Source organism: Homo sapiens, chromosome 18 (genome assembly GCF_000001405.40).
Source record: "Homo sapiens chromosome 18, GRCh38.p14 Primary Assembly".
NCBI lineage: Eukaryota > Metazoa > Chordata > Mammalia > Primates > Hominidae > Homo > Homo sapiens.
This window is the reverse complement of record NC_000018.10, coordinates 79,210,941-79,235,175: the sequence shown is the minus strand read 5'-3', so window position 1 is coordinate 79,235,175 and position 24,235 is coordinate 79,210,941. Positions and strand designations below refer to the sequence as shown.

At 41.2% G+C, this 24,235-nt stretch overlaps 1 protein-coding gene across 36 annotated transcripts in view; it reads right to left on the bottom strand.

The window, feature by feature from the left end:
- ATP9B (ATPase phospholipid transporting 9B (putative)) overlaps window positions 1-24,235 on the bottom strand; it is a 308,890-nt gene that overhangs the window by 143,108 nt on the left and 141,547 nt on the right. For 35 of the 36 annotated variants that reach the window (NR_148360.2, XM_017025726.2, XM_011525963.3 and 32 more), the window contains one exon: window positions 21,138-21,214. The exons of the other annotated variant lie outside the window; for it this stretch is intronic. Coding sequence is in view for 34 of the 35 variants with exons in the window: in XM_017025726.2 (XP_016881215.1) it covers window positions 21,138-21,214 (77 nt within the window). In the remaining variant the exon portion in view is untranslated. The remainder of the gene's footprint in view (window positions 1-21,137; window positions 21,215-24,235) is intronic. 36 annotated transcript variants of the gene reach the window in all.

The following is a 24,235-nucleotide window of genomic DNA, read 5'->3' as shown; positions in this document are numbered from 1 at the left end:
GCCAGGCACAGTGGCTCACACCTGTAATCCAACCCAGCACTTTGGGAAGCTGAGGTGGGCAGATCATCTGAGGTTAGGAGTTCGAGACCAGCCCGACCAATATGGTGAAACCCCATCTCTATTAAAAATATAAAAATTAGCCAGGCATGGTCATGGGCACCTGTAGTCCCAGCTACTCGGGAGGCTGAGACAGGAGAATTGCTTGAACCCAGGAGGCGGAGGTTGCGGTGAGCCTAGACTGCGCCACTGAACTCCAGCCTGGGTGACAGAGTGAGACTCCATCTCAAAAAATAAATAAATAATATGCAATAAGCTTATAATACAAACATTTTTATAAAAGCTGAACCAAGGAAATCTTATACATAGAGCTGAACGTGACAATAAACCAAATACCGTCCGTTGATTATCTCCCTAAGCCACACAAACCCATGGTCGAAACCGCAGCCACAGCAGCAAGCCCACAGCAAGCATGCTTACAGCAGCACACCCACAGCAGCACACCCACAGGAGCACACCCACACGAAGCACGCCCACAGCAGCACACCCACAGCAAGCAGGCCCACAGCAAGCAGGCCCACAGCAAGCACACCCACAGCAAGCAAGCCCACAGCAGCACGCCCGCAGCAAGCATGCCCTGTAGTGGCGGAGCTGGCCGTGGATGTCCCTGCAGAACACGCAGGAAGAAGTCTCGTGGAGCAAAGGCAGCGATCTACCTTCAACATGACAGATGAATGCAAAGAAAAGGTGTGGCTGCACCTGCACGGGTGTAAATGTGTGTGCAGGAGCACACGCTGACACACACCTCACTGCTCATGGAACTCGGAATGGGAAAAAGGTCAACGGTGAGAGGAATTTCACATTCTAAATTTCTAAATTATTTGAATGTGTTAAATCCAGAAGTTTTTCCTTTCATAAAGTTAAAAAAACCCATGTTTACCATTTATTTCTGGATTCTGAAGGCCTCTAGCCTCGTCTAAATAAACTGCCCTCTATATTCCCCCAGTCTAATCAGAACCTTCCCTACTCGCTCCCTCCCACTCTTCCTGTAACCCTGTTCCAAGATTGATGTATCCACTCTTGTTTTCACCAGCACTTACCTGTAGTTGACCCTTGAACAACAAGGGTTTGAACTGCAAGAGTCCAAGGAGGGAGCAAGACCAATCCTCCTTCCTCCTCCTCCTCAGCCTACTCAATTGGAAGACGATGAGGATGAAGACCTTTATGATGATCACGTCCACTGAATGAAGCGTGAATATAACTTTTCCCTCTTATGATTTTCTTAATAGCATTCTTTTCTGTAGTTTACTTTATTGTAAGAATACAGTATATATTTTACATACAAAATGTGGGTGAATTGACGGTCTGTGTTACTGGTAAGGCTTCCAGTCAACAGTAGGTGATTAGTAGTTAAATTTGGGGAGAGTCAAAACTTATGCGTGGATTGTTGACTGCACAGGGGTCAGCACTTCTAACCCCTCTGCTGCTCATTGGTCAACTGTATTTCCTTGTACCCTATTCCTCCTGTTCATCAACATCTGTAACGACACACCTAAGCCCCACCTCTCGTGAGGGTGGCCTCATGTGTGGGGTCTGGGTAATTCACTGTGACAGGAAGTGTCATGCGTGTGCCTTTCCCAGGCCAATGCTTTTATTTTCTCTGGCTCTTTTCAAGATTCTCTCTTTGCCTTCAGTGTTTTTGTAGTTTGAATATTATACACCAGGGTGTACATTTTATGGCATTTAACCAGCTTGGTGTCCTCTGAGCTTCATGGATTTGTGGTCTAGTGTCTTGGAAAGATCTCAGACTTATTACTTCAAATTACTCTGCTCTATTCTTTCTTCTCCTCCAGGTATCCCCATTATACATAGTTGTATCTTTTTTTTTTCTTGAGACAACACCTCTGTTGCCCAGGTGGAGTGCAGTGGCATGATCTCGGCTCACTGAAAGCTCTGCCTTCCGGGTTCAAGTGATTCTCCTGCTTCAGCCTCCAGAGTAGCTGGGATTACAGGTGTGCGCCACTTCACCTGGCTAATTTTTGTATTTTTAGTAGAGATGGGGTTTCACCACGCTGCCCAGGCTGGTCTTGATCTCGTGGGCTCAAGCAATCTGCCCACCTTGAACTCCCAAAGTGCTGAGATTATAGGCGTGAGCCACCGTGCCCGGCCACATATTTTTATCTTCTGAAATTGTCCCACAGTTCTGGATGTTTTGTTCTTTTTATTTTTCCATTTTGACTCTTCTTGCTTCTTAGTTTGGGAACTTTTCACTAGCCTGTCTTTGGGCTCACTGATTCGCTCCTTGGCCACATCTGTCTACAAATAAGCCCTTCAAGGACATTCTTCATTTCTGTTACCATCATTTTGGTTTCTCGCATTGCCTTTTGATTCTTTGGGTTTCCATCTCTGATTACAGTTATCTCTCCGTTTTCGCGAGTTGTCTACTTCTTCTATTCCAGCCCTTAACATGTGCATCACAGTTCTTTTAGATTCCCTATCTGGTCATTCCAAAAATCTGCGTCATACCTGAGTCTGGCTATGATGCTTGCTTTGTTTCTTCAGACTGCTTATTTCCCACCTTTTAGCATATCTTGGAATGTCTGTTGAAAGCTGGATATGATGTATGAGATAATAGGAGCTGAAGTAAACAAGCCTTTAGTGTGGGGCTTTATGTTCATCTTGCCAGGAGCTGGTCTGTGTTCAATGTCTGCTGCAGCTGTAGGTGTTAGGGGCTGCCAATTCCTCTCATGTCCTTGGTTTTGCCTATGCCCCTGACTTTGGGCTTTCCTCAGAGATTCTACACCTTGCTGCTCTTTCACAGAGAACTCATGTTTATCACACTGAGCCCTGATGGTGTGCAGACAAGGTGTGGGGAAGGAGGAGCATGCTACAATCTTATGATTAAATCTCAGTTTTTTAATGGGTCTGTGCCCCTGCACTCTACCCTTCACAAGTGTTTCTCAGCTCCCCCCATGATATCCCATGCCATTAGTGAGACAGGAAGACTAGAGGGGGTTGGAGTGAAAGAATTCCTTCCCCCAGGTGGGACAGACCTGGTAAGGTCTTTTCCCCTGAGCAATGACCCTCTTTACAGAAGGTCATCACCAGAGTAGTGTACACTGTATCCAGTGTGTAGTCTTTCATCCCTCGCCCACCTCCCACCCTTTCCCCCAAGTCCCCAAAGTCCATTGTGTTATTCTTATGCCTTTGCATATTCATAGCTTAGCTCCCACTTATGAGAACAGATGATGTTTGCTTTTCTATTCTTGAGTTACTTCACTTAGAATAATGGTCTCCAATTCCATCCAAGTTGTTTTAAATGCCATTATTTTGCTCCTTCTTATGGCTGAGCAGTATTCCATGGTGTGTGTGTGTATATATATATATATATATATATATACACACACACACATTTTCTTTATCTACTCGTTGATTGATGGGCATTTGAGCTGGTTTTATATTTTTGCAATCGTGAATTGTGCTGCTATAAACGTGTGTGCAAGTGTCTTTTTTGCACAATGACTTTTCCTCTGGGTAGATACCCAGTAGTGGGACTGCTGGATCAAATGGTAGTTCTACTTTTAGTTCTTTAAGGAATCTCCACACTGTTTTCCATAGTGGTTGTACTAGTTTACATTCCCACCAGCAGTGTAGAAGTGTTCCCTGATCACCACATCCACACCAGCATCTACTATTTTTTGATTATGGCCATTCTTGCAGGAGTAAGATGGTATTGCACTGTGGTTTTGATTTGCATTTCCCTGATAATTCGTGATGTTGCACATTTTTTCATATATTTGTTGGCCATTTGTATACCTTCTTTTCAGAATTGTCCATTCATGTCCTTAGCCCACTTTTTCATGGGACTGTTTGTTTTTTTTTCTTGATGACTTGTGTTCCTTGTAGATTCTGAATATTAGTCCTTTGTCAGATGTATAGGTTGTGAAGATTTTCTTCCACTCTGTGGGTTGTCTATTTACTCTGCTGATTATTTCTTTTGCTGTGCAGAAGCTTTTTAGTTTATGTCGCGTCTATCTATCTGTCTTTGTTGCATTTGCTTTTGGGTTCTTGGTCACGAAGTCTTTGCCTAAGCCAATGTCTAGAAGAGATTTTCCAATGTTATCTTCTAGAATTTGTATGGTTTCAGGTCTTAGACTTAAGTCTTTGATCCATCTTGAGTTGATTTTTGTATAAAGTGAGAGATGAGGCTTCTACATGTGGCTTGCCAATTAACCCACCACCATTTGTTGAATAGGGTGTCCTTTACTCGCTTTATGTTTTTGTTTGCGTTGTTGTATATCAGTTGACTATAAGTATTTGGCTTTATTTCTGGGTTCTCTATTCTGTTCCATTGGTCTATATGCCTGTTTTTATACCAGTACCGTGCAATTTGTCCTTTTTGCTTAGTCTTGCTTTGGCTATGCGAGCTCTTTTTTGGTTCCATATGAATTTTAGGATTTTTTTTTTCTAGTTCTGTGAAGAATAATGGTGTATTCTGAGGAGAATTGTATTGAATTTGTAGATTACTTTTGGCAGCATGGTCATTTTAATAATATTGATTCTACCCATCCATGAGCATGGGATGTGTTTCCATTTGTCTGTGTCATCTATGATTTCTTTCAGCAGTATTTTGTAGTTTTCCTTGCAGAGGACTTTCACCTCCTTGGTTAAGTACATTCCTAAGTATTATTTATTTATTTATTTGCAGCTTTTATAAAAGGGGTTGAGTTTGTGATTTGATTCTCAGCTTGGTCACTGTTTGGTATACAGCAGGGCTACTGATTTGTGTACATTAATTTTGTATCCTGAAACTTTGCTGAATTCATTCACTAGTTCTAGGAGCTTTTTGGATGAGTCTTTAGTGTTTTCTAGGCATACGATCATGTCATCAGCAAACAGTGACAGTGTGACTTCCTCTTTACCAATCCGGATGTGCTTTATTTCTTTCTCTTGTCCGATTGCTGTGGCTAGGACTTCCAGCCAAGGAAACTTCCATTTTATTATTGAAAACTAATATTACGGTGTTAATACTAAATTTATATATTTTTATATTCTCTGAACTACTTGTATCATTTTAAGGGGGAAAATAATTAAACTACACTTTATTCAGTCTTAGCACTTACACAAAGATCTTCCCTGACATATCTATAAATTTCATTTTATAAAAAGTAGATTCAGATATTGAGTTCCTTTTTTTTTTAATGCACTAAACTCAGTTTTAAGACAAAAACAGGACATGTAGTTACAACCTAGCATGTCAAACATCCTTAAAATGATTCAAAGTGTATATTAAATGAAATTATGCAAATACAAGTAACACAGATACTTTAAAATGTTCAAGAATCCATTTAATTTTGTTTCAGCTTATTAGCATCCATAAATTATCTTTAAAATTGTTATGATTTTTTATCCAGAAAGCTAAGGTTTAAGAATGTAACTTGAAAGAGAAATGATGACTGATTAAAGAATGCAAGGAAACTTGGCAATCTGGTTTTCTTCTTGCATCTAGAAACACGCAGCAGTAACCTGACGTGTCTGTGAAGACAGCAGAGCGCCTGCGCCTCTGGAAACACACCATCATCTGCCTCTCTCCAAAGGACGGGGGAGACGCCTCATGTGAGATGGAAATTAAGCCTCAGAAGCAGTCATTTTTCTTTATATTGTTTGGAATTAAAAACATATTAAATTGATCCATTATGAAAATTCTGCTCTCTATACTGTGTGTTTCAGACCATGTCTCTGTCTTAAGGCTATGAAACAATTTTTGTAATTGTAATAACAAAACAAATTATTGACTTTAACTTAAGAAAACTGTTGCCTGAATGACTGAATATTCAACCAAAACAGATCCCTCCCTAAATTGTATCATACACAAGCTGCTCATTTCCACAGGTTAATGAACCTTATGTGGTACCGTTATATTTGATTTGCTTTTTGTTGGGGTGGGAGAGTGCCCAGGGTGCAGTTTTAGTAATTACATAATTCTACATAACATGCTAGTGTGAGTTATCAACAGTATTGTACTAAAAAAGCATTATATTTCACATCAGCACCAACAGTAACATTAGCACAAATCTGGTTATATAACTTAGAAGTCATAAGTGTGAACTGTAGCCTGAGCTGCTACCTTTTTTTGTTTGCTTGTATTGAGACAGGGTCTTATACTGTCGCCCAGGCTGGAGTGTAGTGGCACAATCTCAGCTCACTGCAGCCTCAACCTCCTGGTTGAAGATCAAATGATCCTCCCACCTGAGTCTCCCAGGTAGTTTGTACCACAGGTGTGCCCTACCACACCCACCTAATTTTTTTTATTTTTAGTAGAGACAGGGTTTCGCCATGTTGCCCACGCTGGTCTCAAACTCCTTGCCTCAAGTGATCTGCCTGCCACGACTTCCCAAAGTGGTGGGATTACAGGCGAACCATGTCCAGCCAGCTTCTTAAATCTGTTCATTAACTTTGAGGTTACTTTAGAAAAATTAATTTTTAAAAACCAAAAATAGTATCTCTGATACCAGAACAGCAAGTCACATCTTGAGTAAATCATTATTTATTATTTACTACGTGCAAAATATAGGGAAAGAGACAGAAGACAAATGTATCTATGACTTCCCACTTCTGATTATAATCTCTTTAAAGACTGTGTTTATTTCTAATCCCCAACCAATGACAGATGCAACAGGCGATCACCTTAAACAGGGATTATTTTGTTTACTGAACAACAGATTTAGAAAGGAAGGCAATGCACCCTTCAGTGGTTTCTTCCCTTGGCTTCACAGTAAGAGGAGTTTGGTACTAGCGGAATTTGAGGAGATGGAAGTCCATGTAAAGAATGTTGTGTCAGCCCCTGTATTTATCCAGTATTTTCTATGGAAAGATAAAGGCTCTCTCACAGTGAATTCAGTCTGTTCTACGGGCAGAGGAGTCTGGTACAACAGATGTGCAAAAATTCTGCTCATCAAGCAAAATTTATCACTAGTGGAGAATTTGAGATATTCTGATGATAATTTCTCTTAAATCAATTAAAGCCAAATACTATTCCATACTCATCTAAAAGGCTATTTTTTGGGCTAAAGATTTAAGTAGCTCTAATATGTCCTGCATTGATTCACTCAATGATGAATTCATGTGTTCAGTTAATCAGCATTTATCAAATGCCTAATGTTTTTGTCTTATCACACTATGAGCTTTGGCTAATGTATACAAAGTGAACAAATATGAGATTTTCAACCCTCATGAAAGGAAACCATTTTTAAAAACTAGAGAATGGGCAGTTCAATGTGTTGCTGTCCTGCTTTCTCAACACAGTGCACACACATGCCTGGGCAGAGCAGATAAAACTTCCTGAAAAGGCACAGACCCAAGTGCTGGGCTGGAGCCCACGTGCACTGAGGAAGGAGAACAGTTAGAACCTCCCGGGAAGGCACAGAAACAAGTGCTGGGCTGGAGCCCACATGCAGTGAGGAAGGAGAACAGTCGGGGGGAGGTGAGATGCTGAGGGATGTAAAGAGGGCCACAGGCTGGTAAGGTAAGGGGTTGCTCAAATCAGTAAACATATTCAGTGTAATGATAAATCCGTTTCTCACTGTCAGGGAAGGAGTTACAATGTGGAAACAAAAAACTAGAAGAAACCCCTGGACTCATCATCCATCCACCCATCCACCACCCATCCATCTACCCATCCACCTATATACTTACCTACTCATCTACCCACTCACTCACCCACCCACCCATCCATCCGATTCACCCACTCATCCACCCACCCGCCCACCCATCCATCCACCCATCCATGCAATTCACACACACACGCGGCCTGACTCTGTTCACTGCAGGGATTTGGAAACAGCGTATGGCAATACACATGAGCAAGCCCAGCTCCCAGAACCTGACTTCTAAACAGCATTTTTTGCTAAAAGGAACCCAGAGCCAAGCCCAGGGCTGGAGCAAAGAAAGTACAAGATGAGTCTGGAACATCTGTCTGTGGAAGTAAAAACAAAAAATACTAAAAAAATGATGGGTTCATGATAGTACGACAGAGAGGCCAGCTTAAAGCTTAAAGACAGAGAGGAGACAATGTAAAGGTCAATCAAGGAAAGTAACAGGTTATAGCCCACCAAAAAAAGAGAAAACCACAAGTCACAATACGACAATGCAAGAAGTGCCTAGTATATGGTGCCCGACACACAGCAGGTGTTCAGTCAGTGCCTAGTATATGGTGCCCAACACACAGTGGGTGTTCAGTCAGTGCCTAGTACACAGGGCCCAACACACAGCAGGTGTTCAGTCAGTGCCTAGTACATAGGGCCCAACACACAGCGGGTGTCAGTCAATGTGCACTCCTTTCATAGCCTGCTACAGTCTCTACGCTACCAGAGCACTTATCCCGTAGAGCACTGCAAACTTTCCATTTTTATTAAAGATAAGTCCACCTCCCCCACACAAACTGTGTGTTATTTTCATTTGAGTCCTCTTCAGATCCTCCTGGCTTCTTGTGTAGGCTGTCCCCCATCTACTGCGGGTGAGCAGCATGGGGCAAAGGAAGGGGGAAGGCACAGCTCCTGCCTCCAGGGCGTGGGAAGTCTCGTGGAAGATGAGGCACCTAAGCAAACGGTTATCATGGCTTGACTCATGTGCTCACCAGTGTTCACTGAGCAGGGACCCTGTGCAGGGCACCAGAATACCAAGGTAAACAGAGTCCTCAAAGCCAAGAAGCTAACATTTCAGTGGAAGAGGCGACATCTACCTGCACATTTTGTTACATCTCTCCTAAGAGTTGAGACAGAAAGGCAGGATGCGCTGTGGTGGCCACAGATGGCTGACAAGTCTTTGTGGCCAAGCACCAAGAGTGCAGAAGACAGCAGTCTGAGAAAAACGCATGAGGAGCAAAGCACCCGTGGAACACAAGGAAGATGCTGGGGCTCGCCACAGAGCAATGGGAATCTTTTGAAGTTTTAGCCAAAGAACGAACCATATCAAACCTACATTTCATAAACATGACTCAGGCTGTGACACCCAAAACATGATGGAGGGAGCAGGAAGAGAGGGCGGCAGAGCGGCCACTGTCGTGAACTGGGTGAGAAATGACAGGAGCTTGAACTCTGCACTATGGACTCTGAATGAGGCTGCCAGAAAGGAGGGAAGCTGAAGGGCCTGAGAGCCCTTGTAGAATTCATGCTGCCATAGGAGGAGGCAGTGATGACAATGGGGGAGCCAAGAATAGAAAGATGCCCTGGGAACAAAGAGTCACTCAGACGCTGAAGACAGTGGCCGCCCTGCAACTGCGGGACCCAACAGTCACTCAGACGCTGAAGACAGTGGCCGCCCTGCGACTGCGGGACCCAACAGTCACTCAGACGCTGAAGACAGTGGCCGCCCTGCGACTGCGGGACCCAAGAGTCACTCAGACGCTGAAGACAGTGGCCGCCCTGCGACTGCGGGACCCAAGAGTCACTCAGACGCTGAAGACAGTGGCCGCCCTGCAACTGCGGGACCCAACAGTCACTCAGACGCTGAAGACAGTGGCCGCCCTGCGACTGCGGGACCCAACAGTCACTCAGACGCTGAAGACAGTGGCCGCCCTGCGACTGCGGGACCCAGCAGTCACTCAGACGCTGAAGACAGTGGCCGTCCTACAACTGCGGGGCCAAAACATGGTTTCGAAAGGACGTCCCCATGATGAAGACATGGTAGAGGAAGCCTAGAGGGATAGGGAGTGCTGCATGAATGTTGATTACTGCAGTTTACTTAATCTTTTGGAGTTAATATCTCATTATAGTGTAAAAACTCTTAGATGATATATTTTAAAGTTTTGCAACAGGTAATTATCAGCTGACAATACTAACTGCATAAAGGAAATGAAAAACTATCTAATTTCATGTTTAGCTTATTATATACATGTTTTAGTTAATGCAATTGTAAAAGAGAGCGTTTGGTACAGTTTCTACTCTAATGTCAATAAAATAAAATTAAACAAAATATTAGCATCCAGAATATCCCATCAGCTGTATGAAAAGATGAATAAGTCAAAATCAGATTTGTCAAGGTTTTAAATTATCACTAGATAAAGATAACTGTAGAGAGAAATAAAACACAAACTATGCCTTAAGGAAAATCATTCAGACACTGTGTCAGAGGCTTAAGATACAATGTAGACCAGGATAACACAGTCCCTACTGGCAGACTTTCCTGTCTGACAAGAAGCAGTGCTTGTGTTACTGTGGTCGTGGTTCCTGGGAGCTGCTGGAGACAGGTCGCCCTTTTCTCCCAGTGGGAAGGCTGCACTTGGCCTGGGCTTCCTTCTCCACTGGTGTTTCCTAGCTGCAGCCATAACCCCCCAAGGACAAGCACCCTACACGGCCTGCCCAGGGTGGAGCAGCTGGTGCTTTCCTGAGTAGACACTGAGGGTTTCTCTCTGCCTAAGGAGGGAGGATAACAGGAGGGTGCAGAGGAGATGGCACACATGCTCAGCAGAGAGCCTTGTTCCAACAGACATTGGCAGCGACAATTAGAAAACCAAGGGACCTGCCCTGCTAGCTGGCTGCTGGCTTGAAGGTGTCCCTGGTGAAGTTGGCTTCTGAACACACAGCACACACGTGACCTGTTTTTGATGTATGGTAGCCACAAAGGGAATCCATTTGCATGAGACAGGGCATGTCCATGAACCCCAGACCCTCCCTAGTCTGGCAGCCCACAGAAATCCTCCTGGGGAAGGTGATACCGACTCTCCCTTCTCCATCTTCAGCAACTACATAACCACCATCCACATGCCCACTTGCTTTCCACCCCACAGAGGTTCCAGCACTTTCCCATTCTCAGTCTCACGAGACATTCCAGATCGCCTCGTCAGAAATCACGGGGCATGATCTGGTAGGGAGACATGCTTAGTTTTGCAGGAAATGTCATAAGTCAATCATTATCACAAGGTCCATACATTTCTAACAGCTTTTATGGCACAGGGGTAAGGAATCAAGGAGTTCAAAAAATAAAGACAATTATGAAAATACTTGCTTCTTGAATAAATTACACTTCTCTGTTAGGAATTTTGATTACAGAGAATTTAGCTATACCGCTTAGAAATGATGAGATACTGTCAAATATAGTTCTTATTTAATATGCAACAAATAATTAGTAAGCCCTTCTTATTCAGAACTTTATGTAAAGCTAACTAAGTCTTTTCTGTGATAGAAATCAATTACAATAATAAAAATGCTTGCATTTTTTATTTGGAGCACCTGTTTTCTAATTAAATTCATATTTAAAAGGAATTTAGGGACAAAATCTAAGTTTTCTAGTTTAGATATTTGCTATACACTCTGATAGAGCATTATGCCCCAGATGCTATCAGTAGGATTGTTTTTTCAACACTTAGCATTTTGTTTCTTTACTACTTTCCTGAAATTATAAGTTTATTTATGTTCACACTGCAGATGAAGAACTACAACTTCTAATTGTGAGCAGCTGTCATATCAAAGTGTGCCGGGTATGCAAGTGAAGGCTGTGCTAATGTACCCCAAAGAGCCACCCTGGGTCTAGTCTAGAAGCTACAGAATTATGTCATGGTGGGTTTGTTTTCTAGTTAATCTTTTCCTGATGAGGAACTGAAACACTATGATTTGTGAATATTAACAACAGTTATCCCAAAAAAAGCATCCCAAGAGTCTTTCTATCTCTGTTGATTTACTGCAATACTACTAATATGTTCTACAATATGTAGCTCTTTGGTGAAGCACATGGGCACATTTTAAAATAAGTATTTAAACTCTACGGTATTTTATTACAAGAAAGCAACTGTTAGAAAAATTAAGGCATTCTATGATTGTATGCAACTACAAGAAAAGATAAAAATAAGTTATTTTATTGTAATATTTTAATATAAATCAATATAACTTTTAAAATATTAATAAATTATCTTTTTTAAAACAAGAAAGCTAGTCTCCAAAACTGCTTTGATATTTCAAGTTGCAAAGTACACCACAGCTGGACTCTATTTTGTTCCATGATCTCAAAATTTCTCAACAACTATTCAGATAACAAGCACCAGCTCTAATTCTCATAATGGCTCATGTCACCTATCTCTCTGCCAATGAGACATCTGAAAGCATCTTTTTATTAGATACACAAATCAATATACCCAAGGGATTACAATAACTGCTTGAAGCAATTTGTATTATCATTTCATCCTTGATGTTCTTGCTCTGAGTAACTGATTATTATGAATGGCATGAAAATGGCAACCTGTCACAATTGATTTTTCCTTAACCTCCACAAGAATTTTTCTCCCTTAAATGTAATCAAGTCTCATATCATTAAATATGTCTGAGGCTGGCTTTTATAAACGAGTCCATTACTCAAACTGTAGTCCTTGTAATTTGAACTTTCACCAAATACTAATATAATAGTAATTCCTTAGTAATAAAAACTTTTGTTTAGTCTTAAAATTTTCAAACTTTGAGTAGACTCCATCTTCTTTTAAATCTCTCTGTCATAAGCACTAGGAGGCGGGAAAATATTCTAATCCTCACCTTCAAGAATTCTTTTTAATCTCAGAATTTTCCTCTATCTAACAAAATGGAAGGATTTATTCTTATCTTCATGTCTGGATAAAACATGCTGCATTTTTTGAAAGTCCAGGGAGGAGAACCAGGAAGTTGCGTCCTCAGGTCCCATTCCAGGGGGTGGGATCAATACAGGTAGCTCTGCTGCTGATGTTGCCTACGTGGGGCCACCCTCTACACACCACTTCACCTAGAGTGTGGGGACAACCAGGCGTCACAGAAACAAGAAAGAGAGTTAAGGCAGCAGCCAAAGTGTCTTTTTTTTTTTTGAGATGGAGTCTCACTCTGTTGCCCAGGCTGGAGTGCAGTGGTGCGGTCTCGGCTCACTGCAACCTCCACTTCCTGGGTTCGAGCAACTCTCTTGCCTCAGCCTCCTGAGTAACTGGGTTTACAGGCGCCTGCCACCACGCCCGGCTAATTCTTTGCATTTTTAGTAGAGACGGGGTTTCACCATATTGGGCAGGCTGGTGGTCTCTGCCTGTCTAAAAAAATAAAAGATAAAGACTAAGAGATAAATATAAATTATTTTTTGGAAAAAGTACATATTTAGGATAATGCAGCATGGTACCTGTAACTACAGGATAGGCAAGTGGGAAATGTCTGTTGAACTCAGGGTCTAGGGATATGAGTTATGCTTTTCTCCTTAGTTTTCTGTATGTTTAAAATTTTTCATAAGTTTTTCTTTCTTTTTTTTTTTTTAAAGCAGCTAAAAAAGAACAAAATTGGCCAAAATAAAGGCAAAAAAAAAAAAAAAATTGGCCAAAGAAGTTTGGGGATGTTAGCTGAGGAGAACTAGAAGTTTAAAAAAAAAAAAAGCCTTTATAATGCAATTAATAAAACTAGTTAAATACCTAACATACATCAACTTAACTCTGGGAGGATAGGTGGAGTTTTGTTTGTTTGTTCTGAGACAGGGTCTGGCTCTGTAACCCAGGCTGCAGTGCAGTGGCATAATCTCAGCTCACTGCAAGCTATGCCTCCTGGGCTCAGGTGATCCTCCCACGTCAGCCTCTTGCGTAGCTGGGAATACAGGCACACGCCACCACGCCCGGCTAATTTTTGTATTTTTTGTAAAGAGGGCATTTTGCCATGTTGCCCAGGCTGGCCTCGAACTCCTGGGCTCAAGTGATCTGCCTGCCTTGAGCTCCAAAGTGCTGGGATTACAGGCACGAGCCACTGTGCCCAGCCTGATAGTTTTGAAAGTACTAACACACACTGTTCCTCAATGAACCTGCAGCTGAGATGGGGCAAGTCCTCCTTATCAGCTGAATCTGTGGAAGCAGATGGCTGCAGGAGGCTGGCGCTCTTCCAGGAGCTGAGGATGCTCCTTCATGTCCTGCAGGAGGACATGAAGCCTCTGGTGGGGCTGGGATGACTCGGGGGTAGTCGGTGGTGGAGGTGGTGAGGGCCCATCAGGGGCTGAAGACCAACAGGGAGCACTGGGACTTGCACATGGTTAACAACAGGTACCAAGGACTCAAGGCCTGGTCTCGGCCACACAGTCTTATGGGCTTTACACCCTCTGCTAGAGTCAGGGAACAGCAACACATTGGAAAATGTCAATTGCTTAACCATTCTATGTAGCAGGGATTATGTGGATGATTTTTAAGGCAATTATATCCCAGGAACTTCCTAGTCTAGGCCACACCTACAGTAGAGGGCAACGGGAGAGGACGCTGCAGATACTGAGGCAAAAGCACAAGAGGCCCAAAGGCTGAAGAGAGCAAGTCAGAGGCAGCAGGGCCCAGCAAGAGGGCGTGACATCCTACAGCTCCAGCTGAAAAGAAAAGGGCACTCTCTTCTTTCTTACTGCTGCATCATGGAATAAAGAAGATAACTCTATAAATGTGGTATTTATTAAATTGAATTTACATAAGAGATCTACAAGCAACCGAATATAAGACTTGTCTCCCTAGAAGATCAATTACTGGATAAACCTAGAAAATGTGAAATGATGCTCAATTTGCCTTGACATACAATCTACAATAGTGGCTGTATTTTTTTTAATTAATCTATTTTTTCTTAATGAGACAGGGTCTCACTCTGCTGCCCAGGCTGGAGTGCAGTGGTGCAATCATGGCTCAGTGTAGCCTCAAACTCCTAGGCTCAGGCGATCCACCCACCTCAGCCTCCTGAGTAGCTGGTACTACAGGCACATGCCACCACGCCCAGGGAATCTTTGTATTTTTTGGTAGGGACAGGTTTTGCCATGTTGCCCAGGCTGGTCTCGAACTCCTGGGCTCAAGAAATCCGGCCGCCTCAGCCTCCCTAAATGTTAGGATTACAGGAGTGAGCCACTGCACCTGGCAGAAAATATTTGTAAGAAGGAAAGGATGCTCTCCAAAATATTATATAAAAGCTTATAATTTTAGATAATCCAGTGTCTGTAACAGCCTCCAAACTTCAACAACTCATTTTCATCACTGTACTCGAAGTCTTACCACCAATAACTACTTTGCTTCCAAAACTCCTTGTCCATAAGGAGCCCTCTCACTGCCATCCACCATCACGACCGGCTGTCCCTGCCTTCTCTGCTTACATGTCCACATGCAAACCTCTGCACCAGCCCAGCAGCCTATCTCTGCTTCTGCGTTGGGGCTCCTGAACATCAGCCTCAGAACAGCCATATCCTGGTTACTGGCACCATTTTAAATTTAAGATTCCCAACAACAGCTGGATCCTTCACATTGCCAACAATGTATGAGCCTAAATTGTTAGGCTCTCGTCTTCTTGAGCCCTTCAAGAACTGTCTCAAAGTCTTACCATGTTGCATCAATTTCACTACCGAAAGTGTTGTTGTGATTAACTTCTTTCTTATATCAGATTTTACTGAAGCATTTTTTAACCTCAGGAACGTAAAGCAATTTTGTGAATTGTCAGGGTCCTGCTATACACACTGTAATGAAGAAAGGAAATAAATATAAAGAGAAAAAAGGACGGAAGGAGAGGGAGGAGAAAGAAAGAGAAGAGGGGAGGGAGACAGAAAGAGTGACATACTGATAGACTTGAAATATTTTCTACAAATGAAAGAAGTAATGCCATAGTTCCTGTGGTGGCCATGTAATTCTATATGATTTTCTTTTCAGTAATCTTATCCTGTTTAAGTTACTACTGGATGCCCACTAAACTTATTCTTCCATATGATTAATATTTTTATTTGTAAGACCCCCTATTCTTTTACTAAAAACATTAATAGGTTTGTGATATGGATTTTTCTCACCATAAAAAAAAAACCAAAATCAATAAAATCTCTTCCCTTACAGCACAATCAGTCCACTTCTCATCAGCACTGCCACCGCCATGCTCTGGGCTGCCTGGTAAATATGCTCAGAATTCCCTCTCCCTCACCCTGGACCCGGCTCCCTCAACACAGCACTCTCTCCTTCCCCCAAACCCTTGGAAGAGTCCTCCAGCTGTGATTGCACCTGAGTCCCACCCTAATAAACGTACTGTCAGTTTTAATTTTACCAAGATTTCCTCGTTGCTAAAATTACCAACCTCTTTTCTACTTTTCACTCCAAATGATCTTCTCTGTCCCCAGCACACTGTTGACTACTGGCCACTCCCTAAAATGCTTTCCTCATTCATTATTCTTATCCTGGTTTCTCTTCCTCTCCTTATCCCTTAAATATTGGTATTCTTCCGGGTTCTGCAAGGTTCCTCTTTTTCGTACACTGTGTAAAAGCCCTGGGAAATCTTGTTCGTGGCTGTTGCTGCTCATGAAGTATTTCCAATTCTCCCTCCTTCTGCACACGAGCTAGAAGTGCAACTCCCTGACTCCTTGAACTTGGCCAAGGCCTTTTAATTGTTCTGGCCAATGAAATGTGACCCATATCACTCGCTCGCAAAGCCTTAAGAATCAGTCAGTATGTAATTGGCCACATCAGTATTTTCTTATCCCAGTGGTCATGGAAATGTGTTTCCAAGACAGGCCCTGAGTGACCATGACCAACAGGAGCTGTCAGCCTGCGCTGGACCCAGAATACGAAGAAAATATGACAAGAAGCAGGAGCTGCCAGTCAGTGCCGGACCCGGAACACGAGGAAAACATGACCAACAGGAGCTGCCAGCCTGCATCAGACAAGGAACACAAGGAAAATACGACAAGAAACAGGAGCTGCCAGCCTGTGCCGGACACGGAACACGAGGAAAATATGACCAGCAGGAGCTGCCAGCCTGCGTGAGACAAGGAACACAAGGAAAACATGACAAGAAGCAGGAGCTGCCAGCCTGTGCCAGGCATGGAACACCAGGAAAACATGACAAGAAGCAGGAGCTGCCAGCCTGGCCAGACCTGGAACACAAGGAAAACATGACCAGCAGGAGCTGCCAGCCTGCGTCAGACACGGAACACGAGGAAAATATGACAAGAAGCAGGAGCTGCCAGCCTGTGCCGGACATGGAACACGAGGAAAACATGACAAGAAGCAGGAGCTGCCAGCCTGTGCCAGATACAGAACATGAGGAAAACATGACCAGCAGGAGCTGCCAGCCTGGCCGGACCTGGAACATGAGAAACACAACGCTGGGGAAGCCACTGCGGAGTATGAGGCACTTTATTATCAGAGCATGACTCAGCCTATCCTGACCGATAACCACTACTCATTCAAAAATATGTATTTGCAGCTCAATTTCTCTGCTGACGACGAACTCCAATGTATCAATGTCCCAATATGGCTTCTACTCAGAGAGCTGTCAGAATTGAGTGTTAGAAACATTTTTGCTACCTGAAGAAATCCAACAAAGCTCAGGTAAAGGATGAGATGAGATTTCCCCTGTACATGTTTACCGTTTTGTTTGCACCAGCCTTCTTTGAAGCCCAAAAGTTTGTTGGTTTACTAAGCAACAGAAGAACACTGTGATGTCACCGTCAGAAAACAGTCTTACCAGCAATAAACAATAATTTCCACCTTTCCGTCTCTGTTCAGAGACCAATGTCACAATTCTCTTCCATTCAACATGTATCAATACCGAGGCTTCCCCTGGATAAATTACATGTTACCTTTCGCCCAGTGTAGCTTGCTCAAAACCTTCTCCTGAATTTTATTCTTGTAAAACTAGCATTTAACACTCAGAAATATTTAAGTATATATTTCATTTCCCTGTTATGTTATGTCTTAATTGGATGTTTAAATACCAAATCTGGCGGGGCGCAGTGGCTCACGCCTGTAATCCCAGCACTTTGGGAGGCAGAGGCGGGCGGATCACGAGGTCAGGAGAATGAGACAATCCTGGCTAACAAGGTGAAACCCTGTCTCTAATAAAAATACAAAAAATTAGCCAGGCGTGGCGGTGGACGCCTGTAGTCCCAGCTACTTGGGAGGCTGAGGCAGGAGAATGGCGTGAACTCGGGAGGCGGAGTTTGCAGTGAGCCGAGATTGCGCCACCGCACTCCAGCCTGGGCAACACAGCAAGACTCTGTCTCAAAAAATAAATAAATAAATAAACAAACAAAGAAATAAATACCAAATCTAAGGAAAACGTCCTCAGGAGCTTCACTATCAGCAGCGCTTTGTCTTGAGACGTGTCACGGCTCCATGCCTTGTGATCTCCCCGGCTCTACAGTCGGGAACGCACTCTTCTCCCCGGGAGCCATCGTGTGGATTCAAGACATAATACACGTAGAGTTTTAGACAAGTGCCTACCATGTGGTCAATGTTCTCCAAGCTGGAGCTAGAACCGCTATCGTGAATCCCTATTGGGAGGGGAGGACTCAGCATGTATTAATCACCAGGAAAATACCAGCCACTGAAAGAACACTTTTACATCAGGTTGAAAAGCTAACATGGTAAGCAGCAAGAAGTAAATCCAATTCTGTAAAACTCCAAAGACACCCTTTCAATTATGAGATATATTCTGCCAACAATAAGCAAATTTAGAAGACTATTTTTTAAGAAAGGAGAAGAGGAAGAGAGGAACAGGGAAAAGAAAAGAAGAGGGAGAGAAGGAATGCCCACACAGCGGAAACTGGAAGAATTTCTAGGCCACGTGGTAGCTGACAGTACAGAACCTCCTGCCTTGCACAAACTAGTTACAAAATGACCATTTCTTGACTAGCAATCAGGGTAGGGCTGAAAAATTACCACACTGAAAACCTTTCCTTTTATAGAAAAATAAAAATTACAGCTAACATTTACTGAGCATCTGTCATGTAGCAAGTACTTTCCTAAGAGCAACGTGTGCATGAGCATGACCTTGTTCCTGGCAAGCCCACTTCAGAGAGGGGAGGGTGGAGAGGGTGAAGAGGCTGAGGGACACACGAGTGTGCACCAAGGCCTGGACACAGACCCAGCAGCGAGGCTTCAGGGCTACATTCCAAACCATGCTTGCAAAACTAGGAGGCCGCTCCAACGCAGAACCAAGACCCTGAGTAAAGAGCTTGACGAGCCAAAAGTAACAGGTGTATAGATGGGAAGAAATAATAAAGTGGAGACTGAAATGAAAAAATGACAGAAAATAAGTTGAACTGAAGAAAAAGGTGGGCTAAAAAAGGAATCACAGTAAAAGGCAGTGTAGCTTTAAAGATTTTAAATTCATATTTAAAATTAATTTACCCTCAAATATCATCATAAATGCAAAAGTAACATTTAGGAAAAAAATCCTAGAACTGTACATACATTAGAATGTTCTAGTTTTGTGGTCGGGTGCGGTGGCTCACGCCTGTAATCCTAGCACTTTGGGAGGCTGAGGCGAGCAGATCACTTGAGGTCAGGAGTTTGAAACCAGCCTGGCCAACATGGTGAAACCCCATCTCTACTAAAAATATGAAAATTAGCCAGGTGGGGTGGTGCTCATCTGTAATCCCAGCTACTCGCAAGGCTGAGGCAGGAGAATCGCTTGAACCCAGGAGCTGGAGGCTGCAGTGAGCCAAGATGGCACCACTGTACTCCAGCCTGGGTGACACAGTGAGACTCCGTCTCAAAAAAAAAAGATGTTCTAGTTTTGCTCACATGAAAAAAATAACATAGCACTTATCAGAAAACACATATAAATACGTATGTGATTCTAACTCTATATATGATTACTTTAATAATTTATTTTTAAATAATTGTAACACTATTGTAGAACTACTGACTTGCATATATTTGAAATGCAAATTAGAGTCAAACTGCAATGTAAGTCTAAAGAGATAACTTTCCCCATTATCACAATTAGGATTTATACTCAATAGTAACGCAGCATTCTTCTTTGACTTTAGCAAACATGTAACACACAGATATCTGGGGTTCTATCAGGTACAGGAGATGCACACTGGATTCTCCGTGTGCACAGCTAAGGGCGTTCTCAAGGCATGCCCCAGTGAACAAGCAAACAATCGACACAGAAGGCCTCACTCTACTTACTGCTGCAAACGGCCTAGGACTTTATAGGGTTGGTGATATGTTACTAATTTTTGAAGAGTTAACCATTTTTAAAATAACATTTACCTGAAAAAATGGAATACATCTTGCTCAAATATATCTTTTTTTTTTTTTTTTTTGAGACAGAATCTCACCCTGTTGCCCAGGCTGGAGTGCAATGGTGCGATCTTGGCTCACTGCAACCGCCACCTCCCGGGTTTGAGCTATCCTCCTGCCTCAGCCTCCTGAGTAGTGGGGACTACAGGCACCCGTCATCATGCCCAGCTAATTTTTGTATTTCTGGTAGAGACAGGGTTTCACCATGTTGGCCAGGCTGGTCTCAAACTTCTGGCCCCAAGTGACCCACCTGCCTCAGCCTCCCAAAGTGCTGTAATTAGAGGCGTGAGCCACCACGCTTGGCCTATCTTTTCAAAGAATTATTTGATTTCCACTGCGTTAATAAGACTTCCAGAAAAAGACAGCAAAAGATAACCTTCACTATTAATTACCCACAGAGTGAGGCATAAATCCATGTGAGGATTTTTTGTTTCATCTAAATGCACATAAATTACATTTTAAATAAAAATGAGTAAAATCAATACTTAGGAAGAGCTTCTCATTAACTGTACATTAGCACATACTGTGAATTCATCTCACATATGGTATCATGATGATAGCAACTACTGAGGATTCAGACTTTTTGTTATGATTTTACACACATGTTGGATGCATAAATAACAATTTTAGAAATATAATCAATTCAGGATATAATCAAGCGGTCTTTAAAACTAATCTTTGGCTTCAATATGCTTCTTCTGACATGGAAATAAATAAAACTGGCTTAATACTGTAACATCAAATTAAATAGTATAAAAACATTAATACAGATTGCTTTATTTTAAAATGAACCATCAACATAAAAGAGTGCAAATTGTAAAATAAGTAGACTGAAGATAAGAAATTAGCCACAATTAACTGTCAAATTACGGGCAAATTATATATCTGACAATGAAAATTTAAGACACATATAAAACTGATTAGCCAAGCAATGATACTTTTGGAAATTCGCCAGTATGAGAATGTTGTTATATAAATACGGAGAATTCATATTGTAAGTCACCAACATTTTTGAAAGTCTACTTTAAGATATATGTTAAGCCAAAAGAATGAGCTATTCAGAACTATGCAGACTTTCTTACTGAAAGGAAAAATAAGTTCATTAAAGCAGTTGCTCCTCAATCTAGCCTACCTTATTTTTTGGATTGGATGTGTTCATTACACTTCGAGTCTCTTTTCCGGTATAAATGACAACACCTATTACAGTACCTGCAAAAACATGAAAGTGGTCCTTGTAGAAATACTTTAAAGATGAGTAAAAGATAACACTTTCTAATTAATTGTTTTGATGGAAAGTATTATCACACTATTTGATTTTATATAAATTTATCCAACAGTGTATTTAATTTGGCTAATTCAAGAAAATCTAATCTCAACTTTAAAAATGGACTTTGAAAAAGTCAAATGATTTGTTAAGCAATACAAATGTACCCACATATAACATTAGGAAACGTACTAATATTCTTTTCACTGACAATAGAGATAATGACAATGGCCTTTCACTACTGTCTACTAAAATGGTGGTTCTATCACTGAAGGTCAATTAAGAGGCTATATCCTTAACTAATCAAACTTGTCCTTTGACCTTCAAATAAAGATGGTACCAGATGAACCACTTTCTTTTAGTGTATTTCCACTGTAAAGATCAAAGTATTACTAAATATCAGTGACAGCCTTTGCTAATATTTCAAAATGTGTACAATTAAAATAATAGAAATATTATAAAAAACGGTATTTGACTTTGCATTTAGAAGCTATTACTCTCTTTTACACGTCAAAAAGATATAATAATTTTTAAATTTAAGAGAAAAGAATAATAAAATATCCTTGGTATGACCGATAGATTTCAAAGGCTAAAGGGCACTTATCTCTAGAATGTCAGTATTAAAAACCATGGAAATCTCTTTCTGAAACTACAGCCATATATAATTTATATTCCTAATTTTCATCCTTAATTTTTTGTAAATTTTGAAGGTGAGAAACACAATTAAGGTGAGAAAGTATATACACATAATGTGCAATTACCAACCATTACAGAATTAACTATAATAATTATATGAAAACTCTGATGTCACATTAACTTAACATGTAAAATGCAGAGCATCATAAGACAGGCTCTTTGAAGTAAAGATGATTGATATGAACTCCCGGCTTTTCGTGAACCTTGATATGTTACATATTATACATATCACATGGCTTACACCTTCCTCTCTAGAAAATCTAGGAAGGTGGAAGATGTGAAGTATTCCCCAGCAGGGATATGTGTGGAGATTATATATATTTCTCTTTTAATTGAGTGTCACTGAGAAGTGTGAGGCTTCAGTTTGTAAAAGTTCATGAAAGGCAAGGCCAGCTCACACTTAGAATATAAGCTCCCCGATGCACAAATGCCGTCTTTATTACTATTATCCACATAAACTTCTGAGATTAGATGACTATACTTACTACGCAGAGAAATATTAAATATATAATACAATACTATAAAAAGCTTTCAAAAGGAGATCATAGAATTACTTCACATCAGTGAAGCTAAATATTAAATATCATCTGATCAGTATTTTCTGTTTTGCCAATCTAGTTTAAATCAAAATATAAACATCCCACTAATGTTAAATTATCACAATGATGTAAGAAGGCAAACTGCAAAATTAACTTATTTTTTAACATTAGCAGAATGAGCAAATCTCAGAAAAGGCTTTGCAAGAATTAATCAAGCTAGAAACCGTTGAGCTGAAAGCAGGTTGACTGATGAGCAAAGTGGACTCTAGAGTGGCCTTACAATGCACAGTACCTCAATTCAATGTGATACATAACAAGGCATATGTTATACATTTTTAACAGAGGTCCTGGTACAATATTTGTATAATCTGTTAAAGTTTGCTAAAGGCTCTCGTAAGTATTCTCTCACTTGATTCTCATGAAAAATCAACACTTACTAGAATTAGATTAAATGAATTTTTCTGAGTGTCATGCTTTTTAATATCTAACGTAACTAGAATCAGTGCAGAAATATTTGGGACATTTTCCATTCTCTTTCACAAAGGGTATGTACTTATGAAGTACAATAGGCTAAAAGACTGAGTAAAACCTGAGTATACAAGGCAAAACAGAGGAAAGGGATTAACTGTGGATTGCGAAATGAGACATGAGAGGGCAACAAAGTATGATAAACTCATTTTGTGTCGTATAAGATAACAGGAGACTGAATGTGACAAATATAAATGTCACAAAGATTTCTCACTCAATGAAATACTTAAACAGAAGAATTCCAAAACTTTAACCCATATTTTCAGTGTAAAATCAAGATCCACCTCCCTCACAACGCGCTCCAACTGGAGAAACTTCTACATCAGAAAGACCTGAGTTCAGGACCATGTTGGTAGATTAAAACCACAACCACAACAACAAACCAGTTCTTAACAGGACCCTAAAAATGATGGTGGTCCAGTATTCATCATTAAATCAAAAATTTAACTTCATTTATCCCAAGACAACATTTTAAAAGATTTAGGAGCACTTAATCTTCAAAGCCAGTGATTACATTTGCCTGATCCATAACTGCACACTTCAAATTGACTACAGGTAAAAATTAATATTAAATATTCAGATGCTTTGGGTCCAAAAAGGGAGGCATAAAATATGACCACATTTACTCCTACACTCCACAGACCCCATGACTAGGGCCCTCGAGACTTAGCCTACTTCAAAGAGGCTGCTATGTGGATGGTCTGCAAGTCATTCTATAGTCCAACCCTATCATGTCCAACTTCTGTTCAATCACAATTTCATGTGAGTGGGATAATAATTACTCTGTTAGTTACTATGTGCCTTCCTTGCTACAGGCTATATAGAAAATTTCATGCAAAATTATACCACCTTCTAATTGACTACAGTTGTATTTTAAGCAAACAACTTCCATGTTGCAAAGCAAGACAAAGAATGCTAACAAGGTCAAATTTTGTAGAAAAATATACTCTCCTTTATTTAAACATTTCTAGTTTATACCAGAAATCATAATCCAGCACTTCCAAACAAGTAGTCCACTCAATATTTCAAATGATAGGCCTATTGCAATACTTTTAGTTGCTATTTCTAACCACTGATATGTTTAATTTGCAGATAACCAATCCTCACAAATTCAAATTAATTAAGATGATTCATAGAAAATTATTTAAAAACACAAAATATAAAACCTAGACCACTTTAACAAAACAATTAATGGCCTTAAGT